General features: G+C 58.4%; 1 protein-coding gene and 1 long non-coding RNA gene across 4 annotated transcripts in view, besides 4 other annotated features; one reads left to right on the forward strand and one right to left on the reverse strand.

Moving 5' to 3' along the window:
* On the reverse strand, positions 1-23,773 carry PRODH (proline dehydrogenase 1). Of its 3 annotated transcripts, none has more exons than NM_001195226.2 (14): positions 23,610-23,773; positions 18,210-18,418; positions 12,908-12,942; positions 12,271-12,420; positions 10,335-10,399; positions 10,037-10,153; positions 9,545-9,624; positions 8,562-8,643; positions 6,926-7,018; positions 6,671-6,817; positions 5,536-5,711; positions 4,110-4,208; positions 658-746; positions 1-582 (listed from the first exon to the last, which is right to left on the reverse strand). In NM_001195226.2, the coding sequence occupies exons 2-14, from the start codon at positions 18,365-18,367 to the stop codon at positions 395-397; spliced, it is 1,479 nt and encodes a 492-aa protein (NP_001182155.2). In that variant the 5' UTR covers positions 18,368-18,418; positions 23,610-23,773; the 3' UTR covers positions 1-394. The 3 variants fall into 3 exon arrangements, with proteins under 3 accessions (NP_001182155.2, NP_001355179.2, NP_057419.5); NM_001368250.2 differs by lacking the exon at positions 23,610-23,773 and adding an exon at positions 23,390-23,513; NM_016335.6 differs by lacking the exon at positions 23,610-23,773 and adding an exon at positions 23,235-23,513.
* Positions 23,495-23,729: a transcriptional cis regulatory region, noted in NCBI's record as "230 bp fragment that overlaps the internal CpG island (CpGPRODH)". NCBI's record gives its function as "reinforces hsERVPRODH enhancer activation of PRODH in transfected Tera-1 cells" and the evidence as "EXISTENCE:reporter gene assay evidence [ECO:0000049][PMID:24218577]".
* Positions 23,495-25,379: part of a biological region, named in NCBI's record as "human-specific endogenous retroviral insert PRODH enhancer", that runs on past the window's edge. NCBI's record gives its function as "regulatory_interactions: PRODH".
* Positions 23,556-23,590: a direct repeat.
* LOC122455341 (uncharacterized) overlaps positions 23,643-25,379 on the forward strand; it is an 11,337-nt gene continuing 9,600 nt past the window's right edge. The window contains exons 1-2 of the long non-coding RNA NR_173080.2: positions 23,643-23,868; positions 24,572-24,687. This is a non-coding gene — a long non-coding RNA (uncharacterized LOC122455341). The remainder of the gene's footprint in view (positions 23,869-24,571; positions 24,688-25,379) is intronic.
* Positions 23,743-25,379: part of a promoter, noted in NCBI's record as "PRODH upstream region including the hsERVPRODH element", that runs on past the window's edge. NCBI's record gives its function as "drives expression of the PRODH gene in transfected Tera-1 cells; is cytosine methylation-sensitive" and the evidence as "EXISTENCE:reporter gene assay evidence [ECO:0000049][PMID:24218577]".

Consider the following 25,379-nt stretch of genomic DNA (forward strand, 5'->3'; position numbering starts at 1 on the left):
TGCAGGAACAGTGGTTTATTGACCAGGCAGGCCTCCCCAGCCCGGCCACTGCTCCCCAAGGGGCTCGGGCTGTGTGGGCTGGCCTTGGCAGAAGGTGGACAATCCTCTAGGTCCAAGGACATGGGGGTCACAGAGGTGGGGGCCTTGGGCCCACACATTCGAGGAGAGTTCCCAAAAGTTTCCAGTGGCTGTCCCAGGCAGGTATCAGGTTCGGCCCACACCTGAGTGCCCATACTCTGGGCAGGGCTGGGAGGCACCTGACCTCACCTCCAGCAGCTCTGCAAGTGTGGGGTGAAAAAAGGTGAATCTGTGTGAGGATGGGGTTGGCTGCAGCTGTGGTGATGGCCTGGGCGGGGGCGGGGGGTGCTGGAGGCTAAGGGTGTGCTGGCGGGTGCTAGGCAGGGCGATGGAAGAGGTTGCCAGTTCGGAGCCGCCTCAAGAGCTCCAGCCACAGCAGCTGCCGCTCCCGATGGGTGCCCTTCATGAGGCTGCTGTTCTCCAGGGCACGGCGGGACAAGTAGGGCAGCACCTCCATCACGGGGCCATAGGGCACGTACTTGTACACGGGGTAGCCGGCCTGGCCTGCATGGGGGCAGATACACCATGAGGCCCAGGCCCAGCACCGTACCCCATCGCACCAGGGAGGGCCCCACTCACCCAGCGGGAAGCTGATCTGGTCACACATGCCTAGCAGCTGTCCAAAGTACACCCGGTGGTCAGCAGGATGCAGGCCCAGCTCCTCCATCCTGTGCAGGTGAAGCCAGGAACTGAGGGCCAGTTCCAGGACACTGTCCCCAGTGCAGGGATACAGGGCTCCTGTCCCAGCTCTGAGCCTGTCCTGCCATCCCAGGTGCCCCATCTGCACTCTCCAGACTTCATCCCCTGCAAGGTGGGGCTGGGGTATGGGCTCTGCCTGGCCCTGCCCCAGTGAGGCCTCTTCCCAGCAGGACTCTGCTGGGCTGCCCTACTCGTCTCCCTGGGGAGGCCTCAGCCCTTGGCCAACAAGGCCTCCCACCTGCTTTCCCTCCCCTCTCCTCTCTCACCTCTCCTCTAGCTCCCTTCTTGGAGGTGCAGCCCTTCCTCGGGCCCTGACCCACCCAGCAGCCTGCCCCACAGGGCAGAGAAGCTCCTCAGCTCTCCTGCCATCCCTTCCTCAAGCCCCTCCAGGGTTCTGTGGTATGACTGGTCTCCGGCCCCTGCCCTCGCCCTCTGTGGGCTGCTGCCCTGCCCCATCCCCACAGCTGCTGTGTCCCACACAGCTGCCACCAGCCCCCGAGTCCTCGGAAGGCGGCTGCTCTGAATCGAGATGTGTTGCAAATGTCAAATACACACGGGATTTAGGAGACTTTGTAGAAAAATAATGCACGATGCCGCGTTGCTTTTCTAAAAGCAACTGGAATACAATTTGAAGTAATATTTTGAATATTTTGGGTTAATTAAAATTATTCTTGAAATTCATTTTATCTTTTTCCTTTAACGTAGCTACTAAATTTTAAATTACAGATGTGGCTTGCATTATATATCTATTAGCACTGCTCAGATACTGGGGTGGGGCCTCCACTCTGTCCTGTCTTCACACCACCCCGTATAGCGTCTTACAAAGATTCTCAGGGTCTGAAATATCCACGCAGTGGCAGTTCTCAAGTTTCATCTCCAGCTTACTATATCCAGGTATCCCGACTTCGCTGGTCTGCAAAGCACTGGGGTCCCCACCCTGGGGTGAGTTCCGCCTGCTGCTCACGCATCACCCGGGACCACCCAGTCTAAAGCAGGCACCCATCTCTGCCACATCGCCCTGGCTTCCATCTTGTGTCTTCCTCAACCCCAGGACATGAACCCGAGAGCCGGGTGCCACTGCTGGCTGCCCCCTCCCCTGCTGGTGTGCACAGCCTCTGCCATGTGACTGCGGCTCCTCCCAGCACAGGACAGTGGCTCACTCCACCTGGCATCTGGGCTTGGCCTCGTGAGGCACTTTGGCCAGCAGGGAGGTACCAAAGGTGACACAAGCAGAGGCTTGCCCTCTCCAGGCCTTCTGGAAGCCTGAGCCCACCACGTGCTCAAGCCTGGGCTGGCCTGTGGGACGCTGGACCCGGGATGCAGTCTCCTTTACTGCCCCAGCCATGAATGAGCTCATTAGGCCCCACCGGCCCCAGATCACAGACGCAGGAGGGACACAGGCACAGCCAGCAGCAGAAGCATCAGCTGAGCCAGCCCACCCCTGGCCTACAGAACATGCCACTGTTCCAGCCTCTAAGTTTGGGGCTGGTTTGTTCCTTGGCCAAAGCCAACTCCGATTGTTTGAGGGTGGGTGGTGTGGCAGTCTGGGCCCAGCACAGGACAGAGCAGCTGCCATAGTCTAGAACCACTTACCCATGGGAGGGGACCCCAGCTCCCCAGAGCTCCCCAACCACCCACAGCAGGGGCAGAGCTGAAGCCTGCAGGGGTCCAGCCTCTCAGGCAGGGATGTGAGCGTGGTACTGGGGGAGCCTGGCACAGGGCCCTTGGGGCCAAGAGGAGAGAGCCCGGCTGCCACTCAGGGGAGGGGGAAGCTGTGTCCACTGGGGAAGCCACTGCCACAGCAAGATAGTAGGGACAGACAGGTGCCGGGCGGAAGCTGGAGAGAGGAAGCCCTGCTGAGGGCAGGCTGTCCTTTCGGAGTTGGATGGTGATGTGTCTAGTCAGGCTGTGAGTCCACCAGCATTGAGAGTCCACCCAGAGGCTGGGAGTCCTGATTACAAGCTGAGAGGAACCCCCACCAGCTCCCGAGTGCTGGGCAGTGCTGGCCACCAGGCCTGTGCGTGTGGAGAAAGTGAGTCTGTCCCATCACCGACACATCTATGACAATTAGCAGAGGATCAGGGCACAAAAATGGGTGTGCTGCAATTTCAGGCCATGAAAAAGTAGCAGCATCGTAAACAAAGGCTGAATGTGGACATCACTGAATGATTTCAGAGCCGTGAGTCAGCTCCCGAGCAGCACCAGGATGTGTCCTGTTGGCTGCAGCCCTGGCCCCAAGCCTGGCCCTGTGGCTTCACAGCTTCTTGGGGAGCCCCCTCGTGCCACAAGCCCTGGATCTGGGGCACCCTGCCCTGCTGAGAGTGGAGCTCCTGCTCAGCTCCTAGGAAGGCGAGAGCCAGCGAGGCCACTGCCCAGGCCCCCGAGGGTTCTAGGGGGTCCCATCCCTGGGAAGGCGGAATCTGGGAGGGGAGGGGGACCTAGGACCCCATTGTGTGCATAGCTTGGACTAAGGCATGAGATAAGACCAGGGTGACAGTACAGGAGTATCCAAGAACTGACTTCACCTAACTTCTGCATTTGACTTGTTAGAATTCTACCGAAGTTGTGCTCCATGGGACAAATGTTTAAAGAGAAAACAAACCGTTACATTCCAGATGTAGTTAAAATGTTAAGGGCGTATTAATGAGGTGGCACTGTGGAGGCCTCCTGAGGGACTGGCCTCCAACACTGCATTTGTACCTTTCAGGAGCCATCCGAATACCCTGATGAAATTTAGTTTTTTAATTGTGAAGTTTAATAAGTCAGATGTTAATTTTTAAAAGTCTGGGTACAGTGGCTGATGCTTGTAATCCCAGCACTTTGGGAGGCCAAGAAGGGAGGATCACTTGAGGCCAGGAGTTTGAGACCAGTCTGGCCAACACGGTGAAACCCTGTCTCTGCTAAAAATACAAAACATTAGCCAGGCGTGGTGGCACATGCCTGTAATCCCAGCTACTTGGGAGGCTGAGGCATGAAGAATTGCTTGAACTTGGGAAGCGGAGGTTGCAGTGAGCCGAGACCACGCCACTGCACTCCAGCATAGGTGACAGAGCGAGATTCTATCTCAAAAAAAGAAAAAAGTTAATTTTAAAAACCAACGTAACTGCAAAAAGCCATTGTGCTCTCACAGTCCGATGTCCAGAACGCCAGCGGGCCTGGGCCTGCCCACTGAAGCCACCCTCCAGCTCATTTCACCAGCCTTTCCCCACAAATGCCCGACCACCCAGCAGGTCGCTCTGCCCACCCTGAGCTCTGCGCTGCTGCCACCTCTCCCCAGCCGGAGGAGACAACGGCTCAGGTTGGGGTTTCGGTGCAGGGTGGGGCACACCTACCTGCGCAGTGCAAAGCGCACTGTGTCCTCATTGTGGGAGGCCACCATCACCTTGGCCTTGGCGTTGTGCTTCAGCTCCTCCAACACGTAGTCCAGGCACCTGTGGAGAGTGCCATGTGAGCCCAGTTCCAGGCCTGTGGCTGCCTGCACCTCTCATTACCAGCTGCACAGAGAGGAGGCCGAGGGCAGACCCAGATCCATCCATTGAGCTGGCTCTTTCCAAGGGTATCCACAGGATCAGGAGGAACAGGAGCAGCATCTGCCCCTCCCAGCACCTCATGAAAAAGAAAGACCAGCAACCAAGCAAAAGCGATGTCTGGGACCAGACAATTCACGCAGAACCAGCTGTGGGGGCAGAGTCCCTGCATCAAACGTGCTGTGACTCTGGGGACCAGCCCAAACATGCCCATGAGCCTCATGACAGACACAGCTTTGCTTCTGGGGAGGGATCGTACAGTGCACCCCTGGCCCTGCAAGGAAATAAAAGGGAAGCAGGTCCCTGTAGGGCACAGTGGGGGTGGGCATCCCGGTGCACCAGGAAGCCCGAGCAGTACGGCCCTCCTGCAGCGAGGTCACTCAGCAGGCTTGACCACACGCACGTTCTCTCTGACCCAGCAATTCCATTTCCAGCAACCTAGGACAGCTGCATCCTCAGACACAAAACCCCTGACGGCCCGTGTGTACCACAGAGGGTGACGGTATGTCCAGCGAGTCCATTACAATAACCAGACTAAAAACCAATAAGATCAAAGATGCTGGACACATAGCCCCGGGCACTCCATGCTGGCTGTTGACAGCACCACTCTGCAAGCCCACACAAGAGGACCCAGATGGAACGCGAAATGAAAAACACATCGGGCAGAGGACACGCTACAACGCAAAAAACAATGGCGGAGATGTGTGCGCTGTGGCACGACATGCACAGCGGCTGCAGGAGGGGAGCTGGAGCCAACCAGGAGACACTTGGGGTCTCTCTGAATTTGCAGCATGCACACACGCCTCTAAGAGGAAAAGCCCATGGTTGGCCAGCCTGTGCTACATGAAAAGATCACCAAGAAACTAGAGCAGTAAAAGCAGGTGCAGAACAGCTGATGGGCGATCCCACTGTGTGAACTGAAAAGCAAACAGGCTGAGCCTGCAGGGTGGGGAGGACCGGGTGTTCATGCACATCTCTGGATCTAAGTGTCTGCAGGAGCAAGCTCAGGGAACTGTGGCCAATTTTGCTTTGTTCAATAGGCTTTTCTATATTTATAAAAGAATAACCTTAATGCTTTTGAAAAAGTAACACATGACATAAAAGCTGAGGAAATACCAGTTCTGACCTGGGGACACATGTGGCTGACAAGTTCAGTCTCCAAGCCTCTCCCTCAGGCCTGGTTTCTTGGCGCCCTGCCCTGAGAAGACAGAGGGGTGGGAGAGCTGCGCACCTGTGGTACATGGCGTTGGTGGCCTCGTACGTGGGGTTGATGGGGTCCTCATAGCCGATCTCTGCCGCACGGGCTCGCTCCTGGGCCAGGTATGCGCCCCGCACCAGCTTGGCCCCAAAACACCAGCCCTCACGGCGAGCCAGCTCCACGTCCAGGGTCACATTGTCATAGGCATCCTGTGGGGCCAGGGCCAAAAGTCACAGGGAGCCTGGGCAAGCCCAAGTGACAGCAGGATGGGGCCTTCCTGGGCCCAGGTGCAGTCACCAGGGCTGGGCAGCAGCTGCCTGGGGAGGTGCAGCTCAGGGCACCTGGAGCAGGTGTGGGTGAGGATGGGCCTCCAACCTCTGTCCCCAAGGAGCAATGGCAGTGGGGACGTCTGCAACTTCCTGTGTGGCCTGTGGACGGCCCTGTGGGTGCAGCCCAGGCGCCAGCAGCCATCATGTGCTCCAGACTCCCAGGCCGACCGGGAGGGGTGCATACTGCATGCTCCTGCCTGGACCCCTCCCCATGCCACCCTGTGTCCTCTGGGCATCCGGCTCACCCCTGAGAGCTCTGGACCTGCTAACATCCCTGAGCAGTTTGGGGCCCAAAGGCTAGGGTGGGCTCCCTGAATACATGTGACATCCTGGGTGAGTCTTTCCGGGGAGGGCCCAAAGCTTTCAGGAGGTTCTTAGGGGCGCTGAACTGAAAACACGCTGGAGGAAATGGTCATGTGACACCTTCCAAGTTTGGGGTGTCGGGTACATCTAGTGGACCCTCATAAAGATTGTTGTCTTCCTCCTGCTCCTTAGACACTCTTGGCTGGTTCTGAGAACCAGGGGAGAGGTTGCGGGCAGCGGGTCTTTCTTGCTACTCTGAGGCAGTCACCCTGGCCTCAGCCTCCTCTGCAGGCCTGGCTGTGGCCACCACCTAAGGGGCTCTTTCCTGGACCCTGGGGCCCGCTGGGTGAGCTGTGCTGCAGAAGACCCCAACAACCCCTTGGGGGCACGGCCCACTCCCTCCTCCATCCCATGAGCTCCCTGGTGGGTGCTGAGTGTAAAACCAGCCAAATGCCAGGGAGCTCAGATGAGAGGAGCCCCTCCTGTGGGGTCTCCAAGCCCCAGGGCAGGCAGGGAGGGGCTGAGCGGGGGCTTGCCTTGAGGTAGCACTGGTATGTGTTGAAGATGAGCGGCTTCTCCACATTGAACTTCCGCTGCATCTCCAGCGTCAGGCGGCTGATGGCCGGCTGGAAGTAGGTCTGCTCGGCATCCACCATCAGCCGCACGCCCATCTCTGTGGCTTTCTGAGAGGCGCAGGGGGTGGGAGAGTGGGAGCAACTGTTGCTCAAGTGAGGCAGGTGCCCTCTTCTCCACGAGTCCCAGGTACCCTCTGCCCGAGCGGGACAGCTCACCTTGGCCAGGACATCCATCCGCTGTAGCATCCTGGTCATCTGTAGCTCCTCCTCCTCAGTGAACCGGGACAGCAGGGGCTCCAGCTGTCCTGTCTGGGGGTGCAACACGCGGTCAGGCCACAGCAAGGGCGGGAAAGTGCCACCCTGAGGCCCAGGCTAAACCTCTCTCAGTATTCCCAGCCCACAGGAACCCTCTCACCCGTCTGTGCAGGGCTGGGAGGGAGGGCCACCTGGACAAGCAGCACAGTGCCCCTGAACCTCCAACGCAGCCAGTGCACTGCCCTATGCGGGGCCTAGGGGTACCACGAGGGAGCTCAGTGCCCATGTCAGTGGGCCCCAGGCTCAGTCCAGGCCTGCACTCCGAAGTGTGTACTCCCCAGTTCCCACAGAGGCCCCACCGTTGTGGGAGAGCCCCCTGCAACTCCCATGTGACATTGAACAAGTGAACACTGATCACCCAATCGTCAAACAGAAGGGCTCCACCCGGAGCAGGCAGAGGGCCCAGGAGGAAGACCCCTGGCTACAGGCAGACAGGGCAGTTGTGCAGCACGTGCTGACACGTAGCCAGGGACCAGGGCAACCACCAGGATGAGGCCTTCAAGTTGCTGGTGCTCAGAGGCCGTGGGGACCCATCCCGCAGGGCCTCCCGCTCACCCCTTTGCTGGCCCCAGCAGCCTTGCCTCACTGGGCACAAACAGTACCACTCTATCCCTTGCTACACCATGCTAAAGTCTCCAACAGCTGGTGGCCTTGGTGCACAGCCACACTGTACGCACTGCGCCCCGAGGCTCTGGGTCGGGGGCTCTAAGTTTGAGGCTGGGCCCTTAGTGGACTGGGGCTAGATGTGTCATGGAAAGCTGCCTCTGCAGGATGTTTTCTGAAGGTGCTTCTGTTCTTTCTTTGAATCCCAGTTTAAGCTGTGGTTTCAAGCAGTCTGCCAGGTCCTGGGCCCCCCTCCCACAGGCAGATGAGTCTCATTCCTCTCCCCGCTGTATACAGGCTGGCCTGGTGACATGCTTCTAACAAACAGAACTTGCCAGAAAAGACACCGTGTGACTTCTGAGGCGAGGCAGGAAAAGGTCACCCAGCTTCTGCCTGGCTCTCACGTCTCAGGTGACACTGGCCCTTAGAGCCCAGCTGCCATGTTGGGAAAAAGCCCAAGCCACAGCCAGCACCAACTCCCAGACATGTGAATGGGTGCCTCCCCCAGGTCCCAGCGCCACCACTCTGTGAGTACAGCTACCCAGGAGACCCCAGGGGAGGACTGCCCAGCTGAGCCCTGTCAACCCCAGAACCATGAGGCAGAAGCAGAGTGGCTGCTGCCGTTTCAGGCCTCTGAAGTTTGGGGTGACCTGATGCACAAGACAGATGACTTGGGGAAGGCCCCCAGACCCCCTCTCCTTGTGGTGTCTTAAGGCTCCGCGTGGGTCTCTGTCCCGCCAAGCACTCTGTGGACACTAGTGGGCTTGTCTTCTTCCCCCTGGACCACAGGGGGTCTGTGGGGCCATAGTGTGCAGTGATTTTGGTCATGTTAAGTTCCCAGGGTAGGCAACAAGAGACACACGTGGCAGGCTGAATTCCCTTCTTAGCGCAGCGCCCTGCTGAGCTGGGCCTCACTGAGGAGCGGAGGTGTTACCTGTGCGTTGGGGACTACCAAGTGCTTGGACAGCTTGGTCCTGCTGTCGATGAGGCTGCTCCAGTCCAGCAGGTCCATGGTGCTGAGGGAGGAGGCGCATCAGCAGAGGGGGCACCCCCACCTGTGGGTGCTAGGGTCGGGTGGGGGATCGAGGCCCAAACCTGTCCGTTCACCACCCACCACAAAACCCACCTCGGTGTTCAGTTTTAAAAGACAGAGGAAATATAAATATTGTTTTCTGTTTAAAAATTTAAAACCAGTGGCATGCGGGGGCTCAAACTTATAATCCCAGCACTTTGGGGGCTGCGGCGGGCAGGTCACTTGAGCCCAGGGGTTTGAAACCAGCCTGGGCAACATGGTGAGACCTGGTCTCTATAAAAAATAAATTAATTAAATAAATTTAAAACCAAAACACAAACAGTCCTGCATCTAGGCGGCTCTGAAAACACTGAGTACCCTAGGCTGTTTTGGGCTTGTGGAGGGGCCGAGCACAGGCAGCCAGGCAGGAGGCGGACACAGCTCCGGGCGGCCAGGGAGGACACAGTGGGCAAGGCTGGCAGTGTGTGAGGGGATGGCTCACTACTGCACCACCCCAGTCACCTCCCCACTTCAACTGGAGGCTCCTGGTGATCTGGGTCCCAGCCCCTGGCTCCAAGGATGGGGCATGGGGCTCTGATCCTTCACCTGCCGGCGTGGACTCCAGGGAGGGCTGAGAGTGCCACCTTTGCTCTGGACCCAGATAATTCTATAAAGAGCCCTCTATGGGGTCTGTGCTGGCCCTGTGTCTCCCCTGCCCAGCCCAGCCCCAGCCTCAGGGACTCCTGAAGCCATCAAGTCCTGCTGTGTGAAAAGCAGTTCCTTCAGCACTGTCATCCCAGGGCCCACCCTCTCAGGCAGGGCAGCCAGGACTGGGAGACGTCACTGGGGCTTGGCTGGAACCATGGCTGATGCTCGTGTCCTCTCAGCCTGGGGGCTGCTCTCACCCAGACACTCCCAGGGTCTCTGCCGTGAACCAGTCCTCAATCTCAGCCCTGGATGCGATGCCCAACTTTGCGACACTTTCCTTGAGAAGTGAGAAGGCCTGGATCAGCCCCATTCACTCATATTTTATCCTTCCCCCCACCCATTGGCCTCTGGTGCTGTTTCTGGCTTTATTACATCGTTAGTAAGAACAGGATCCATGTCTGGTTTGTTTCTACTGCATAGACAGGTCTATTCCCACCCCGCTGCTGATGCACGCCCACGCCCTGCAGGGCTGGGTCTCCAGCCCTCCTGCCAGCATCTCCCCTCTCTGTTCAGAGTCCCTCTGACCTCCTCCTCCCCACCAGGCCAACCCCAGCAGCTGCAGAGTGAGCCACATGCCCTGGGTGAGTTCCCAAAACCACCTCCGACCACTGCCCACCATGCCCCGTGTGACCCCACGGTGCCCACCCCCTCACAAGCCACAGGAGTGGGGAAGGGGAAGGCTGCCCCACCTGCAGCACCGCCACCTCCAGCTTGGTGTCCATGGCAGCCAGGCCCGCCTGCCCTTGCTCCACAGCCATTTGGTGAAAGAAGCACCTCCACTTGGCCAGCACCTCTGAGAACTGCAGCTGCAAACGCAGGCCTGAATGCCATCTGCACACGCCCCTGCCCACCCCAGTCCCCCACACAGCCCCTGTGGCCAGCTCAGGCCTCTAAGGCATGGGCACCTGTGTTTTTGGTGGATGCCCACAGCTGCCCTGAGATCTCGCACAGCACCAGACTCTGCAGGTGGAAGGTTCTAGCACTTACCAGAAACTGGGGTCTCCCCAGTGCTGTGAGCTTAATGGCTATGAAGCCGTCATCGCTGACTCTACCTGTCAGAAGCCACAGGAAAAGCCATGACAGCCCTGAGAGGTGCATGGAGGCAGCGCAGGGTGCGACAGGGAGGGCCAGGGCCTGGCCAGCCCACAGCAGGCTCCTGACCCCACCCCACCCCGCCCATGAAGTCCTTGCACATGGCGCTCTAGAGGCCCTGTGGAGATGGGAGGGGGCTCCGTGGCGGGGTTTCTGTTTCCATGCAGGTGTGGGACAGCAGTGGGCACAGGAGCTGCCTGTCCCCTGCCAAGCAGCCCCCACAGGCTCCCTGCCTCGGTTTCCTTCCCTGTGCCACCAGCACCACAGGCTGCTCACACGTGGGTCACAGGACCCAGAAACACCGAGCGTGGCTAAGACAGAGACACCCCAGCGAGGTCCCCTTGCTCAGGCCTCTGCCCCAGAGACCGAGTCTCTCAGGAACCTCTGACGCAAGCGCAGGCTCCTGCCCCCGTGCAGCCAGCCCGCAGTCCCACCCTGTCCTCCAGGCCAGCCCTCCTGCAGCATTCTTGCCCCTGACACTTCTTTCCAAGCAACAACCAGAAATGTTCCTTTAAAGTGAAAGCAGATCTTACCATCTCATCTTGTTTCACGCCACCCCAATGCAGGGCCTTCCCCTTCCACCTGCCCTGGGAGAACAGGCAATGGACGAGGAGAAGACGCCCCTCACCCTGATGGCCCAGCATTCAGCTGGCCACTCTGACCCTCAGCCCCCATCAGGAGGCGGCTTCCAAGCACTGCTCAGAAGTGCCAGGTGCAGCGGCATGCACCTATAATCCCAGCACTTTGGGAGGCCAAAGTGTAAGGTTCGCTTGAGGCCAGGAGTTTGAGACCAGCCTGGGCAACATGGTGAAACACCATCTCTACAAAAAATATGAAAATTAGCTGGGTGTGGTAGTGTGTGCCTGTAATCCCAGCACTTTGGGAGGCCAAGGTGGAGGGATCACTTGAGCCCAGGAGTTCCAGGCCAACCAGGGCAACATAGTGAGACCTCATTTTTTTTTTTTTTTTTTGAGATGGAGTCTCACTCTGTCGCCCAGGCTGGAGTGCAGTGGCGCAATCTTGGCTCACTGCAACCTCCGCCTCCTGGATTCAAGTGATTCTCCTGTCTCAGCCTCCCAAGTAGCTGGGATTACAAGCGCCTGCTGCCACGCCCGGCTAATTTTTTGTATTTTAGTGGAGACGGAGTTTCACCATGTTGCCCAGGCTGGTCTTGAACTGAGCTCAGGCAATCCACCCGCCTTGGCCTCCCAAATTGCTGGGATTAGAGGCGTGAGCACTCCAGCCTGGGTGACAGAGCAAGATCCAGTCTCATTTGAAGCAAACAAACAAAAACATAAACAGGCCTGGGACCCGCTGCCCCTGACGGAGGGCTGCTGGGGCCAGCATGGGGCTGTGCAGGTCGGATGTTTCTAACACTGAAGGACATTGGGCCTTGCTGACCTCTGGCTTCTCTATCCCTGGAAACACCTGCTGCCCCCACCGCTGGCCCCCAGAGGCTGTGTCAGGGAAGGACAGAAGATGCGGCACCAGCTCCCTGAATGGAACCTCCACCCTGGGCTAAGTGTGGCTCGGCAGCTGACATGGACCAACTTCCTGCAGCTCCCGATCCTGGCCCTGAGCCAGGGAGAAGGGTGGGGGGCATGAGGCGGGATCAGGGAACAGGGAGCTGGGGCAGGAGAGGAGATGCCTTCTGGGAGGCAGTGGGGCCCCTCAGGAAGGGGCTGAACAGTGAGGGACCCAAGTGTGGTCAGAACCCAGCCCTCTGGCTCCTGCCCCAGCTTAGTGTTCACCCACCGGCACCTCCATGAGCCCAGGGGTCCGCTCAGGCTGGGACATGGCAGGGGTATAGCCAGCAAAGAGGGGGCCCCACCTGAGGCTTCGATGCAGCGCAAGAATGTCTCCATGTGGCTGTCGCACTTGGCCTCATTGGCGTAGAAGTAGGTGCGGGCACTGATGACACCATTCCTGCGGTCCCCGAAGGCCCAGTGGGCCTGGTATTGCTTGTCCCGCTTATTCGTGCCTGGAATAGCGAATGCACGGCCTGAGCACAGCTCCAAACACCCACCCCCAGCACCCACACACCAATAGCCCAGGGCCCCTGCCCTCAGGAGGGCTCCAAGCATAGTGGCCTTGCCAGCCTGGCCCTGGCACTGCACTGCCCCATGGTTCCCATCCCCAAGCCCACCCTCCTGTCTACACCGCGGCTCTTCCACCTGGAGTGCTGCATCCCCCTGGCTAAGCCTCCTCATGAGGCCAGGACGGCAGTCTCCTTAACAAAGGCCTAGGTCCACCAGGAGGCCATGAAAAAGGAGCAGGGCGTCTCCCCAGACACTTGCGAGTATGTCAGAGCCCAGAGCGACAGGGCAGGTGCCCTGGACATAGGGAGGAGCCCGGGCTCCGACGTCACCCCAAGGCCCACTTGTGCCCCAGCCTAGACTCTCCTGAGCCACCAAGGGGTGTGCGGAGTCGGGAGGGAGTCTGTTCCTGCGCGGCAGCCTCTCACTCACCACTGCCATCCCTCTCCGCAGCTGAGGTGCAGGACCTGTGGGAAGGAGGGGGAGAGCAAAGGTCAGGGTCACGCCACCTGAGCCTCAGGTGACAGGCACGTTCCCACTGAGGCTGCACGGAGGGCCCCACCACAACCCCGGTGGAGGGTAGATTCCAAGGTGCAGCCCCAGCCCCACCCCTAGCCTGGGGTGGAACACTTGGGCCTGGGAGGGGCAGCAGTTTATGGGGCTGCTGTGTCCCAAGGGCTCAGGAAGCCCGGGGCTCCTTGTGGGTGGAGAAATCAGAACGATATTCCTGAGCTCTCAGAACAGCCCAGGGCTTGCAGCAGGTTCTCAAATAAAGGTAGTTACCTGGTTCCAAGACAGAGCCAGTCAGGGCTGAGAGGAACGGAGGCGGGAAGGCACCAGCACACAGAGGTCCCCAAATCCCCAGCGAGGCCCCCTTACTCAGGCCTCCACCCCAGAGCCAGGGTCTCCCAGGCAGCTCTGATGCAAGCACAGGCTCCTGCCCCCGCACAGCCAGCCCTGCAGTCCCGCCCTGTCCTCCAGGCCGGCCCTCCTGTAGCATTCTTGCCCCGACACTTCTTTTCCAAGCAACAACCAGAAATGTTCCTTTAAAGTGAAAGCAGATCTTACCATCTCATCTTGTTTCACGCCACCCCACCCAGGGTTCCCATCATTTCCTAGTAATGCCCAAAGTCCTGGGCCCCTGGCTTGGGCACCTCAAGACCAGTGAGGCCAGGATGCAGGCTGTCCCCCGCTAGGCTGGCCACACTCTGCTCAGCCAAGCCCCTGTCCTTCCTGCAGAAGCCTCTCCATCCCCGCCTGGCCAGCACCCCCATTCCCCCTGGCCCCTCCCTTCTCTAGGGTACCTGGCTCCCCTCCCCCACCAGCCCTGCACCCCTGCCAGAGCCTCCTCTTCTTCCTCCTCCTCCCCACAGCCACAATCTGCTTCTGGCACTTGGTTTCAGTGCTGTGTCATCCAGGCTAGCAAGAGTTGCTGCGGCCGTTAAGTCTGCTGTGACAAAGCGACCATGGTCTCCCTGGCCCCCGGAGCAGCTCTGAGGGTCACCTGACTTTATATTCAAACCTGATCAAGTCAGTGACCACGGAGAGAGCTCAGCTGCATGACCAACAGCACCCAGAGCCTTCCTGAAGCTCCCCAGAGGCGCTCGGACCCTCAGGGGCAGCTCTGCCCACACTCACAGGAAAGGAGAGGGTCCCCCTCAGATGCCGGGAAGGGGAAAGGCAGAGCAGTGGTCAGTGAGCCGCATCCCAGAGGCCTCCATGTCAAGGGGCCTCAGCTGCCCACTTTCCACCTGGCTGCTCAAGGAGCAAGCCCTGGGCCAGGAGCCCCCGCCAGGAGGCCTTCCCTCCCACCCACTCCTGGGCAGCCCCACATGGGCCAGGGACTCCACATGTGCTGCCAGGGCCCCTGAGGCTGCAGCCCAGTGATGGGAGCTGGCAGGCAGATATGCTCTGGCCACCTTATGCTGACAGAGATGTGACAGAAGAGGGTGGAATGTCACCATGTGACTAGGGAACAGGCAGGCAGCACGTGAACCCCTGCCTGAGACAGGGAGCTCCTGGGCCCCTGGCTTGGGCACCTCAAGACCAGTCATGAGATCAGCCCTAAGACCTTCACGCCAAGGCTTAGGTACAGCCAGGAAAAGCCATCCCCAAGGGGGACTCACTGTCTATGTTAAGGCCGGGGTGGCAGCCAGGGCCCTGCCCAGGGCAGAAACCCTCATGGCAAGTAACAGCAGACAGTGGGGACAGGGCCTCAGGGGCCTCCATGACCCTGAAGAGAAGGTCCCATCCTGAAACCACACAGCCCACAGTTTGGATAACACGGGACTTAACCACACAGGTGTCTGCCTGTGAGGCAGCTCACCTTCATGAAACAGGATCATTATCTGACAGGTCCCCAGGCAGATGAGTTCCCGCTCAGCATTCCCACAGCTGCTGTGTTCATCCTCTGAGGTGGGCCTGGCAGGAGAGGCTGGGGAAGCCAGGGCTGCTCCCTCTCCTGCTCTGACACACTCAGAGGCAGAACACCATAGGCTACCGCTGCTCCTCTCCGTGAACTTCCAGAGCACAGACCAGGCTGACACAGCCAAGCAGTGGCCAAGATGACCACACAGCACGTGCAGTGGCCAGAGGGGCAGCCAGGTCTCAGAGTGGATGGCTACGCAGCAAGGACAGGGCCACACTCTCCAACAGGCATCATGGATAAGTCACAAGGAGACACAAATGGTGGTTCCCAGGCAGGTCAGGGGTCCTATTTCCACTGGAGAAGAGGAAGAAAGCACCCTGGGAGCAGCTGATTCAGAACTGCGGGTGCCACACAGGAAATCTGGCTTTCGCCACCTGGGACGTTGCCACGTCCTGGCTCAAGGCACCACAGGGAAGAGGGGGGCACATGGCACTGGCAGCTGTGGGGTGTTAGAGGAGGAAGGGTGAACCAGTGGATGTGGGGCCCTGATCAGGGTGGGGACCACATCCCAATGCCTCCTTAAAGCCAGGACCTGCCTCGTGCTCCCCCAGTCCCACCCCTCATCATGCCCAGGGCATAGTCTGTTGAAGGGCACATGATCGCACACATGGGCACGACCTGGGACAACAGAGGAGGGAAGAGCGACAAGGGGACATAGGGCAGAGGAGGACAAGCACGTGTCCCCAGGGGGTCTTCAGAGACAGCAGGAAGACCCTGACCACCCCCTCAGCCTCCACCTCAGCTCTGGGTGGCTGTCCCTGGGGACGTGATGCCTATTGAAACAAGCAGAGCATGGGGGTCCACACCCCGCCCTTGTCCAACTCTCTCCTGGAGGGAAGCCTGGCAAGCCGCTTCCTACCTGTACCCCCCTCCCCAGCTCCCCAACCCTCTGCCTCCCCAGCCCCTCGCTCAGGACACTCACTGCACACATATCCTGCCTCCAGCCAGCCCTGGGCCTGCACAGCCAGACCAATGCCCCCATCCACCCCCTAGGTGTTCCCTCACAGCCCAATCATCAGGAAGATGCCTTGGCCCCTTCCCCATCCCCAAGCCCTCAGCCTGCTTCGGGGATCCCTGGGACTCCTCTCCTGGGGTTGGGTGGGGCCCTGGCCTCTGGGAAGCATGGTCCACCCCCCCCCCGGGTGGGCATTGCCCTCCTGCACCTCCAGGCTCCCACCTCCTCTTTCTTTCTCGGGAGCACTGCTGGGACTCACTTTGCCATGCACTCAGACGCCTCCATCCTCCCTGGGCCTCTCACGGCCAGCACCACTTGCCATGGCCTTAATTTGGGGCGGTGGCCTCAGTGTCTCTCCCCAGAGTAGAGCCCATGGCCCTTGTGACAGGAGGGTAGGTTAGGAAGGCAGATCTCTAAGCAGTTCCCTGCACTAGGGTCTGCGTGACTGGTCACTCCTGGCCAAGCAGGCCATGCTGCAGTGTGGACATCAGACCAGTGCTTGCAGACCCAGCCCTACCCCCATGGCTCAGGCCCCTCTGAAAGCACAAAGCAGCTGAGCTCGGTAGGTGTCCTCAGCATGCACCCCTGTGAGGACAGGAGGGAACCCTGTTCACTTCCCAGAGCTGGAGCAGGACCCCTGCAGACAGCAGCCACCAGCAGCAAGACAGGTGAATCCCTTGCAGGGCAAAGGACTCAAGCTCCTAAGGACACAGGTGCCCAGCCCCCTGGCAGAGTGCAGGCCAGTCCACCTCCAGACACTCAGCCTGCAGGGCAGGGAGGAAGCCAGGCAGGACCACCCTGGGAAAGGAGTCTTTTCATACCAGAGGCGCCTGAGAGGAAAATCCCATTGTGAAACCAAGTCCCCACCCAGACTCCTTCTGAGAACACACAGGCCATTGGTTATTCAACAGGCAGCTCAGCAAAGGCTGCAGCCAAGAGCTCAGGCAGCTGCAAGGCCCACGGGGCCTGCTAGGAACACAGTGGGGTGCTGGGGCTGTAGTACCCCACCTTCAAAACAGCCAATCGCAAGGCAGGGGCTGGGCTCCCCTGGCCAATCCTCTCCAGGCAGCTGGCAGCCGACATGCTGAGGCAAGCCTCAGACATTCCGTTCCCAGGGCTGGAGGCCTCATGTGACTGCCTTTCCCTCCCCTTCCCAGGCCAGCCACCAGGGGAGGGGCAGGAACAACCACCAAGGCCTGACCAGGTCCACAGAGGGACTGTCCCAAGCCTTATGTGGGTCAGGCCCGGCTGCTGTCAGGGTGCAGGGGACCCAAATACATAGGAAGACATAGGGAGATCCCATCTTTACAAAAAAAAATTAAAACTTAGCCAGGTATGGTGGTGCGTGCCTGTGGTCCCAGCTACTTAGGGGGCTCAGATGGGAGGATCACTTGAGCCCAGAAGGTTGGCTGCAGTGAACAATGGCACCACTGCACTCTAGCCTGGGCAACAGAGCAAGACCCTACTTTAAAAAAACTGGTTGAAAGAAATCAAAACAAGAATAATATTTTGTGACACAAGAAAATTATATGAAATTCTAATTACTATGGCCCTACTGAGGCAGAGTGAAGCCGTTGTGGCAGGGAGGGTGTGGCCCGACTGAGAGTCTGTGCTACCTGGCTGTTTACACAAACTTGCTGACCTGATGGAGGAGGCTCTGCTACAGCCTCTCTTTTGCAGGGATTCCTGACCCGCAGGCAGGTCCCACTGCCCGACCCTTGCCTGGCCTCAGCCTGCCCTGCAGTTGTGGAACCTCCCAGGCCTGGCCCCTGCCCCATTGTCAGTGGAGAAGGGAATTGAAGCCAGGAGCAGTGTAGCAGGCCGGCCTGGAGTCAGCTCCTGGAGGCCACTAAGCTGATACAAGGCCCCTTCCCTGGGCAGTGAGTGTAGAGGGCAGTTGGTACCACCCTGACCCGCCCTCCTGGGCAGGGCATCAGGACAGAACAACAAGACCACGTTTCCCTCCACTTCCTGGAGCAGTCCCTGGCTCATGTGAGATCCAGGCGAGACCAACCATTCTTTGCAGAGTGCTTGGTTCATATGCTGGTGCCTGTGCTCCTCCAGGCGGTGGACTAGATAGGGCCAAGGGCCATTCTGTACTCTGCTTCCTCAGGCCTCACGCACACCAGGCCTCCCATGAAAGCCCAGAGCTGTCCACCGCATGAAACAAAAATGCAAGAACTCCAGGCAGAGCCCAGGAGGGTCATCGGTAGTTGGGCTGACCAAGCTCTCCTAGCCTTGGCCTCTGCCCAGCTGAGGCTGAAGCCCAGCAGCTGGATACATCCCACCTGCTCCCACTGGGTGCTCCAGGGTCATGATCAGAAAGCCCGCAGACACCGGGCAGGCCTTACTCCATCTCCTTGTGCTCTGCCTCCTCGGGGCTCAGGTCCTCCTCCACTCCATAGTCCAGGATGGCGCTGACACCGAAGGCCCTGTAGTGCCGAAGCAGGGGCTGGATGGACTCCTGGTCCTCCCCGGCTACAAAATGCCCATAGAAGGTCATCTTCATGAGCTTGTTGAATAGCCTCTGTCCTAGAAGTTTCCTGGAAACATACAGCAGCTGAAAGGCAAAGGGAAGCCGCTGTCCTGGGCTGCCTGAACTCTCCTTTCCCAGCAAGGCACCGCTGCTCATCCCCGACCACACTTCACCCCAGCCATGGGGCCTCGATATGGTCTCTTGGCGACTGGGCTTTCAGGGTCAGTTTCATGGTGAAGACCAGCTAAAGCCGCTTGCTTCTCCACCCTGTCCATCACTCCAGTTCCCATCCAGGGCAGAGAGACCACAGGAGGTGCTGCCTGCTTGGCCTGAGGACACTGTTCCCACCTGGACTCTGCCCCTTCAGGGCCCCACCCATGAGTCACTCCAGCAGCACACAGTGGGTGCCTGACCACTGCTTGGTGGATAAAAAGGAGAATGGCCAGCCTCCCTGGGGATGACAGCCGGCATTTTGAGACCATCCTCTGTATCCACACCTTGGTAGTTCTGCTGCGGAAGAGGAGGATCTAACTTGACTTTCTAGTACTTGAGTGCCCAGATTTTTCAATGTTTTGTTCCCTCTTATCCCAAGTCCCTTAAACAGTGTGACTGGCATGAGGCCAGCCCCCGAATGGATGCTAAATAACAAACGTGTGAAACTCAGGCTGAGTCTGCGCCCAGCTGGAGGGAGGCATGCCCTGGCAACAAGGACAATGAGCTAGATGACAGTCCACAGGGGCCTGTGAGATGACTCCCACCCCAGGACCCATGCGCTCTGCAGGGTCATCTGGGGCTGACCAGCCACTCTGACAGATGCTGCCCGGGAACTGTCTGTCTCCTCCAATCATATTTCACCACGTCGCTCATTCAGATGTCCCAAGCTGCCATGCACCAAGCACCTTTTATAGACTGGAAACAACCAAAGGAAACCGACCAGGATCTCACATCCTGGTGGTAAAGGAACCCCAAAGGGGAAGGAGGGACTCTGCCTATGACTCAGGACAGGGGGATGGGGCAGTGCCTGCAGGGTAGGGCAGGGGTGTTTACTAACCCAGATCCAGGAGTGGGGCTTGCCAAGGCGAGGAGATGGCATGGACAACTGTGGGAGCTCCAGCACGGGGGACAGCCAGGGCAGAAAGGACAGGGACAACGAGAGGCTACTTGGAGAGGAGGGCCGAGTGTGATGCTCAGAAGCACACCTCCGCGTTGTGTCTGCTGCCCCTGCCGACTCAGCCCCAACACAGGAAGAGCCTGGGGTTTCTCAAACCCAATGGATACTAGAACTCCTTTTATGTGGGGAGCATCTCTTGAGACCGTAGTTTCAGGAACAACTTCTAGTCTAAGCAAAACCATTAGCGAGTCAAACACTTACACCCAAGCCAGCCCTGAGCACCCACACGCCTGCCCACAGGCAGACATAGCCCCACAGCCTTACCCTGAACATTGGTGCCCCATGGAGACGCCTCCTGACCATCACCCCTGGGCACGCCATGGGGCAGCCCCAAGGACCAGGGTTTCCCAGGCACTCACCCCTGCCTTCCTGCAGCCTCCAAGCAGAATCTGACTTTAAGGCATTTTGTTCTTTTATCAAGAGGATTAGAAACTGGAAAATGAACAGGCTGACATGTTCTCCGTCTCCCACTGAGCCTGAGCCAGGCCTCATTCCTGCTGGCAGCACCCAGGGATAGTTGGGAGAACAGGATGGGTCTGAAACATATCAAAGATCACCCAAGTGGCAGGCGGGGCAGAACTGGGGACCTGAACACCATCACTGGGCTTATCCACATCCGCTCTGAGAGAACCATCAGAAAACAACAGGAGGGAGGGTGGGCAACTGTCGACTGCCGCACGGGGCCACGCAGTCTCCCTCTACCTAACTGCTCGCCTCCGCACGGCCAGCACTAAATGAAGGGGCGGGAGCCCAGGCTGCACTGACTCCAGGGATGCTTATTCACAAAGATGGGGGGCTGGGGGACTGGGCCCGGGCTGAGGGTGGAAGCTCCCTGCACAGGGCTGCAGAAGCACACAGGCAGGGCTGGCAAGTTTTTTATTTATTTATTTTTAGAGGCAGGGTCTCACTCCTGGGCTCAAGCGACACTCCTATCTCGGCCTCCAGAGTAGTTGGGACTACAGGCATGCACCACCACACTCAGCTAACTTTTATTTTTTCTTTTTTTTGAGGCAGAGTTTTGCTCTTGTTGCCCAGGCTGGAGTGCAGTAGCACAATCTCGGCTCACTGCAACCTCCACCTCCCAGGTTCAAGCGATTCTCCCGCCTCAGCCTCCCAAGTAGCAGAGATTACAGGCGCACACCACCATGCCCAGCTAATTTTTATATTTTTAGTAGAGATGGGGTTTCTCCATGTTGGCCAGGCTGGTCTCAAACTCCTGACTTCAGGTGATCCACCCGCCTCGGCCACCCAAAGTGCTGGGATGACAGGCATGAGCCACCGCACCTGGCCCCAGCTAACTTTTAAAAATATTTTGTAGAGACAGGGTTTCACGATGTTGCTCAGGCTGGTCTTGAACTCCTAGCCTTAAATGATCCTCCTGCCTTGACCTCCTTAAGTGCTAGAATTACAGGCATGAGCCACCATGCCTAGGCATGAGCCTAGGGCTTGTAATTTTAAAGCTGACTCCACAGCAAAGCAACCACTTTAACACCATCCTGGTGTCACTGATGTCCCCGCATGGCACTACCTGAGACCAGGGCAGCCCCACATCTTCTTCAGGTGAGGAGATCCTTCGAGGATTTAGAAACCTGCACCAGTAACACATACACTTGTACCCCCTGTGAAAGACTCAACCAAATGTGTGCAGAGTAACACTGGTAGAGCCGGTTCTCTCCCCTCCCCCCACTCAGGGAACCACTGTCACCACGGGTCCTGTCCCTTCTGTGAGGGCGCACACCCAACCTCAGTGCTGTTGTCATGGAAATCCTGGGACTTTCCTAAACCCTCCTCAATAAGTCTGGCTTTCAGGCAAGGGCGGGCCCCACTGCTGTCCCCATCCAAGGCAGCAGCTCAAAGATCAGCTACTACAACCTGACACGCCTGTGGCAGATGTGGCCTCACTGCCCGGGTGCCTCACAGACCTGTGCTGGCTCAGCAGAAGGAATCTCCCCACAGCCCAGAGGGTGAGGGAAGGAACTCCCCTCTGGCCCGCTCACAGGACCAGGTTCTAGTGAGCAGCTCACAAGCCCAGGACCTGGCCTCTGCCTTCTTCCAGTGCTGAGGCTGCCGACACCCATGGGACCACTAGCAAGACAACAGTACAGACCCCACTGAGGGACTTCCCAGGGCACAGGTGGGACCCTAGGGGAGCCTGGGAGAGGTCACCTCTGGATGCCCTGCCTCTTCCAGGTACTCACAGCACCATCCCTGAGCCCTGGCACTTGCCTCAAGAAGGCACCCAAGGGACAGCGGAGCCAACAGTTTCCTCCCACAGTCACGGAACAGCACCTGGCATTCCCCGCAGCAGACTGGGCACCAAACCCCACACCCAGCTCTGCTGGCTTCTCTGTGCAACAACTTGTCTTGAATCTAGACAAGAAACCTTAGGGCTGTGCCTACAGAAACCTGACCTGGTGCCTTCCTAGCCCCCTCCCCATCCCAGCCATGCTTAGGGCTGTGCCTACAGAAACCTGACCTGGTGCCTTCCTAGTCCCCACTCCATCCCGGCCACAAGGTGGGCATGGCTTCTGCACGACTGGCCCCAGCTGCCACCTAGCATGCCCGTCCTTGCCCTGGGCAGGGACCTGTGGCTGGCCACTCCCTCCCCTGGCATTTCTGCCCTGCTGCCTCCTCCTCCTATTGCAGCACCACCAGCACTGGCTCCTCTTTTGGGATGCCCCTTAGATGTGGGCACTCCCCAAAGCCTCCACATCGCCGTCCCTCACCTTGCCAGTTCCTCTACCTGGGATGTCCCTTCTCGCCCTCCTGTCTCCTTGGCCGGGGCTCTCTATGACCAAAACTTGACCTTAAGACATCCTTGTGTGCACACACAGCAATGCCCTCCCAGAGCCCTCCATCTGTCCAGTTCAGCTCCTTCTTCCTCCACCATCCTCCGCACTCCCGCCACCACGGGTCCTAGGCTGACCTTGGCGCTCCCCATGGGATTCGGGCCAACAGCATCTGACTCTGAGTTCGTGGATCCCTGCCCTCACCTCGCACCCGCCGAGGCCTCACCTAAGCTCAACTGTGGCTCGGTGCTTCTCATCTGACACCGTCCCCCGCCTTCCCCCGCCTCCTGTTGAGGCCAGGGGTGCAGCCCCCGACCTCTGTACAGTCTCACCTGAGAAATCAACACCACCAGATACCCTGGCGCCAAAAAGCGGAACCTTGCAAACTCTTCCCAGGGTCACCTGGAGATAACCGTCATCTCTAGTACCCCTAGGCTGATGCGGCTAAAACAGTGTTCTGCTTGTTGCCCCCCACCACCGCCACCAAAAGCCCTGACACTTTTTAAAGCTACCATGGGTGAGTTCAAAGCTGGGCGTTTGAGGGGCTTCCCATTTTTCCCCAACAGTGTTCTCAGAGTGGCCGTGTCTGGGAAGCTGCTGGGTCCCGGGGTTTGAATTCCGGGGTTCCAGGCTATGAGCCCTACACCAGGATTCTCTTGTCTCAACATGAAGAATACTCCATTTTAAATTCCAAGTGATAACTCTGTATTCCCACAAGTGGTATATATCGTAAATATGAAAACGACCATTGTTTTTAGTTGGTAGACATCGACAAATAGGAAAATTTGCGAGGTCCGAGAGGGACTGCAGGAAACGCCTCCCTTCCTGGCTTCCCTTGCTCCAGGAGATGCTTGGGAGGCACCCGTTTCAGGCCAGGAAGCTCCGTAAAGGCTCCCGGGACCGGCAGAAGCCCCCGCGCCCCCGCCTGCACCCCGCGCACCTGCTCGTGGCGCGCCAGCAGCGCGGGCCAGGCGCACAAGCGCAGCACCAGCAGGCTCCGCGCCAGCTCCCAGGTTCGCCGGCTGCGGTACGCCTCCTGCGCGTTGCCGAAGTCCACGGCGGGCACCGGCGGCCGCACTGCCGTGGCCGACCCACCTCCTGGCACGGCCGCTGGGCCCGCTGCGGGCTGCTCGCGGGAGGCCGGCGCCGTGGACAGCGGGACGAAGCGGGGAATGCAGGGGCGCAGCGCGGGCAGGGCGCGCCTCAGAGCCATGGCGGGACGGCGGTACCCGCCCGGGCCGCTTAAGTGTGCGCTGTTGGTCCCGCCCCGCCCCGCCCCGCCCCGCCCCGCCCCGCTCGGTCCCAGAGGCCTCACCCTATATTCCTGACAAATGCCAGACAAGGGCTTAGACTTCACAAGCACCCTGGCACTTCAGCTGCATGGTGGGGACCCTCTGCCGGCAGGGCTGAGGCCAAGGCCCACTGGCTTCTCAAAGCCTCTGCTCCTGCTCTCCGTGAAGACAGCAACAGAGTGAGACCCTGTCTCAAAACAAAAATTATGTATTTTCAGATAGCTTGAAGGAGAATATTGAGTGTTCGTAATGCAAAGAAATAATAAATGTTTGAGATGATAGGTATGCTAATTACCCTTATCTGATCACTATACACGTACAGAAACATCACTACGTACCCCACAAATATGTACAATTATTATGTGTCAACTAAAAAATAAAAATAGCCGGGTGTGGTGGCTCACGCCTGTAATCTCAGCACTTTGGGAGGCCGAGGCAGGAGGATCTTTTGAGCCCAGGAGTGCCAGAGCAGTCTGGGCAACATAGTAAGACCTCGTCTCTACAAAAAATAGAAAATTAACCAGGCATAGTGTTGCATGTCTGTAATCCCAGCTACTCAGGAGGCTGAGGTGAGGGGATTGCTTGAGCCCAGGAGGTTGAAGCTGCAGTGAGCTGATTGTGCCACTGAACTCCAGCCTGGGCAATGGAGGGAGACCCTGTCTCAAAAATAAAAGTGAATTTTTTTTTTTTGAGATGGAGTCTTGCTCTGTCTCCCAGGCTGGAGTGCAGTGGCATGATCTCAGCTCACTGCAACCTCTGCCTCCCGGGTTCACGCCATTCTCCCACCTCAGCCTCCAGAGTAGCTGGGACTACAGGCGCCTGCCAAGCCTGGCTAATTTTTTATGTTTTTAGTAGAGACGGGGTTTCACCGTGTTAGCCAGGATGGTCTTGATCTCCTGACCTTGTGATCCGCCCGCCTCCGCCTCCCAGAGTGCTGGGATTACAGGCGTGAGCCACCACGCCCGGTGAATTTTTTTTTTTAAAGAAAGATTCCGGACACAAACGGCCACAAGTTGTATGGTTCGTTTTATATGAAGAGTTCAGAATAGACAAATCGATAGAGACAGAAGTCACACGAAGACAAGCCCATAGTGGAGCCTGGTGAGTATGGCACTGGCAGTGGTGCCTGGAGGTGGAGGACGGGAGGAGTGGGAGGGGCTGCCAAGGCCCACGGAGTTTCTTTGGGGTCCGGAAATACTCTGGGGCTAGAGAGTGGTGATGTTTGCTCAACCTTGTGTATAGACTAAAAAACCATTCAATATCTCAATAAAGCTGTTATATTTTTTTAAAAAAGCAAAGTTCTAGCATTTGCTTCAAGGAAGCCTGTGGCCCTGCACAGAGGCAAAGGTGGGCAGGGGCTGCCAGGGGCAGGGCTGCAGAGAGGGCAGGGGGAGAAGCGAGGGGTGCAGGGATCACAGAGATCACCACTCACGTCCAGACCATAGCAGAGCAGGCCTAGCGCTGGGTGCCCAGGCCCACGGGAGAGCCCACCTGTGAGGGCACCTGTGGGAACAAGGCTGGCCTGAAAGTCACTGGCTCCATGTGACAATCAATGAAACAACCGAGTTTCACAGGAGCTCTGTAAATCCTAGGAAGCAGGTCTTAGGCTCAGCTGGGGACCCTTGGCAGGTGGCTACCCTGAGCCAGCTGATGGCTTTTTTTTTTTTTTTTTTTAAGAGACAGGGTCTCTCTCTGTTGCCCAAGCTGGAGTGCAGCCATGTGATCACAGCTCACTGTGGCCTTGAACTCCTGGTGTCTCATGTGTCCCTGTGAAGGGACCACCAACCAGCTTT

The sequence above is a fragment of the Homo sapiens genome, chromosome 22 (genome assembly GCF_000001405.40).
Source record: "Homo sapiens chromosome 22, GRCh38.p14 Primary Assembly".
NCBI classification, from domain to species: domain Eukaryota; kingdom Metazoa; phylum Chordata; class Mammalia; order Primates; family Hominidae; genus Homo; species Homo sapiens.

Coding starts and splice junctions, on each gene's coding strand:
- PRODH (NM_016335.6), bottom strand. CDS start 23,507: ATGGCTCTGAGGCGCGCCCTGCCCGCGCTGCGCCCCTGCATTCCCCGC. Junction 9,625..10,036: donor TGGAGGTGGCGGTGCTGCAG/GTGGGGCAGCCT, acceptor TCACTTCTCAAG/GAAAGTGTCGCAAAGTTGGG. Junction 583..657: donor CCAGATCAGCTTCCCGCTGG/GTGAGTGGGGCC, acceptor GCCCCCATGCAG/GCCAGGCCGGCTACCCCGTG.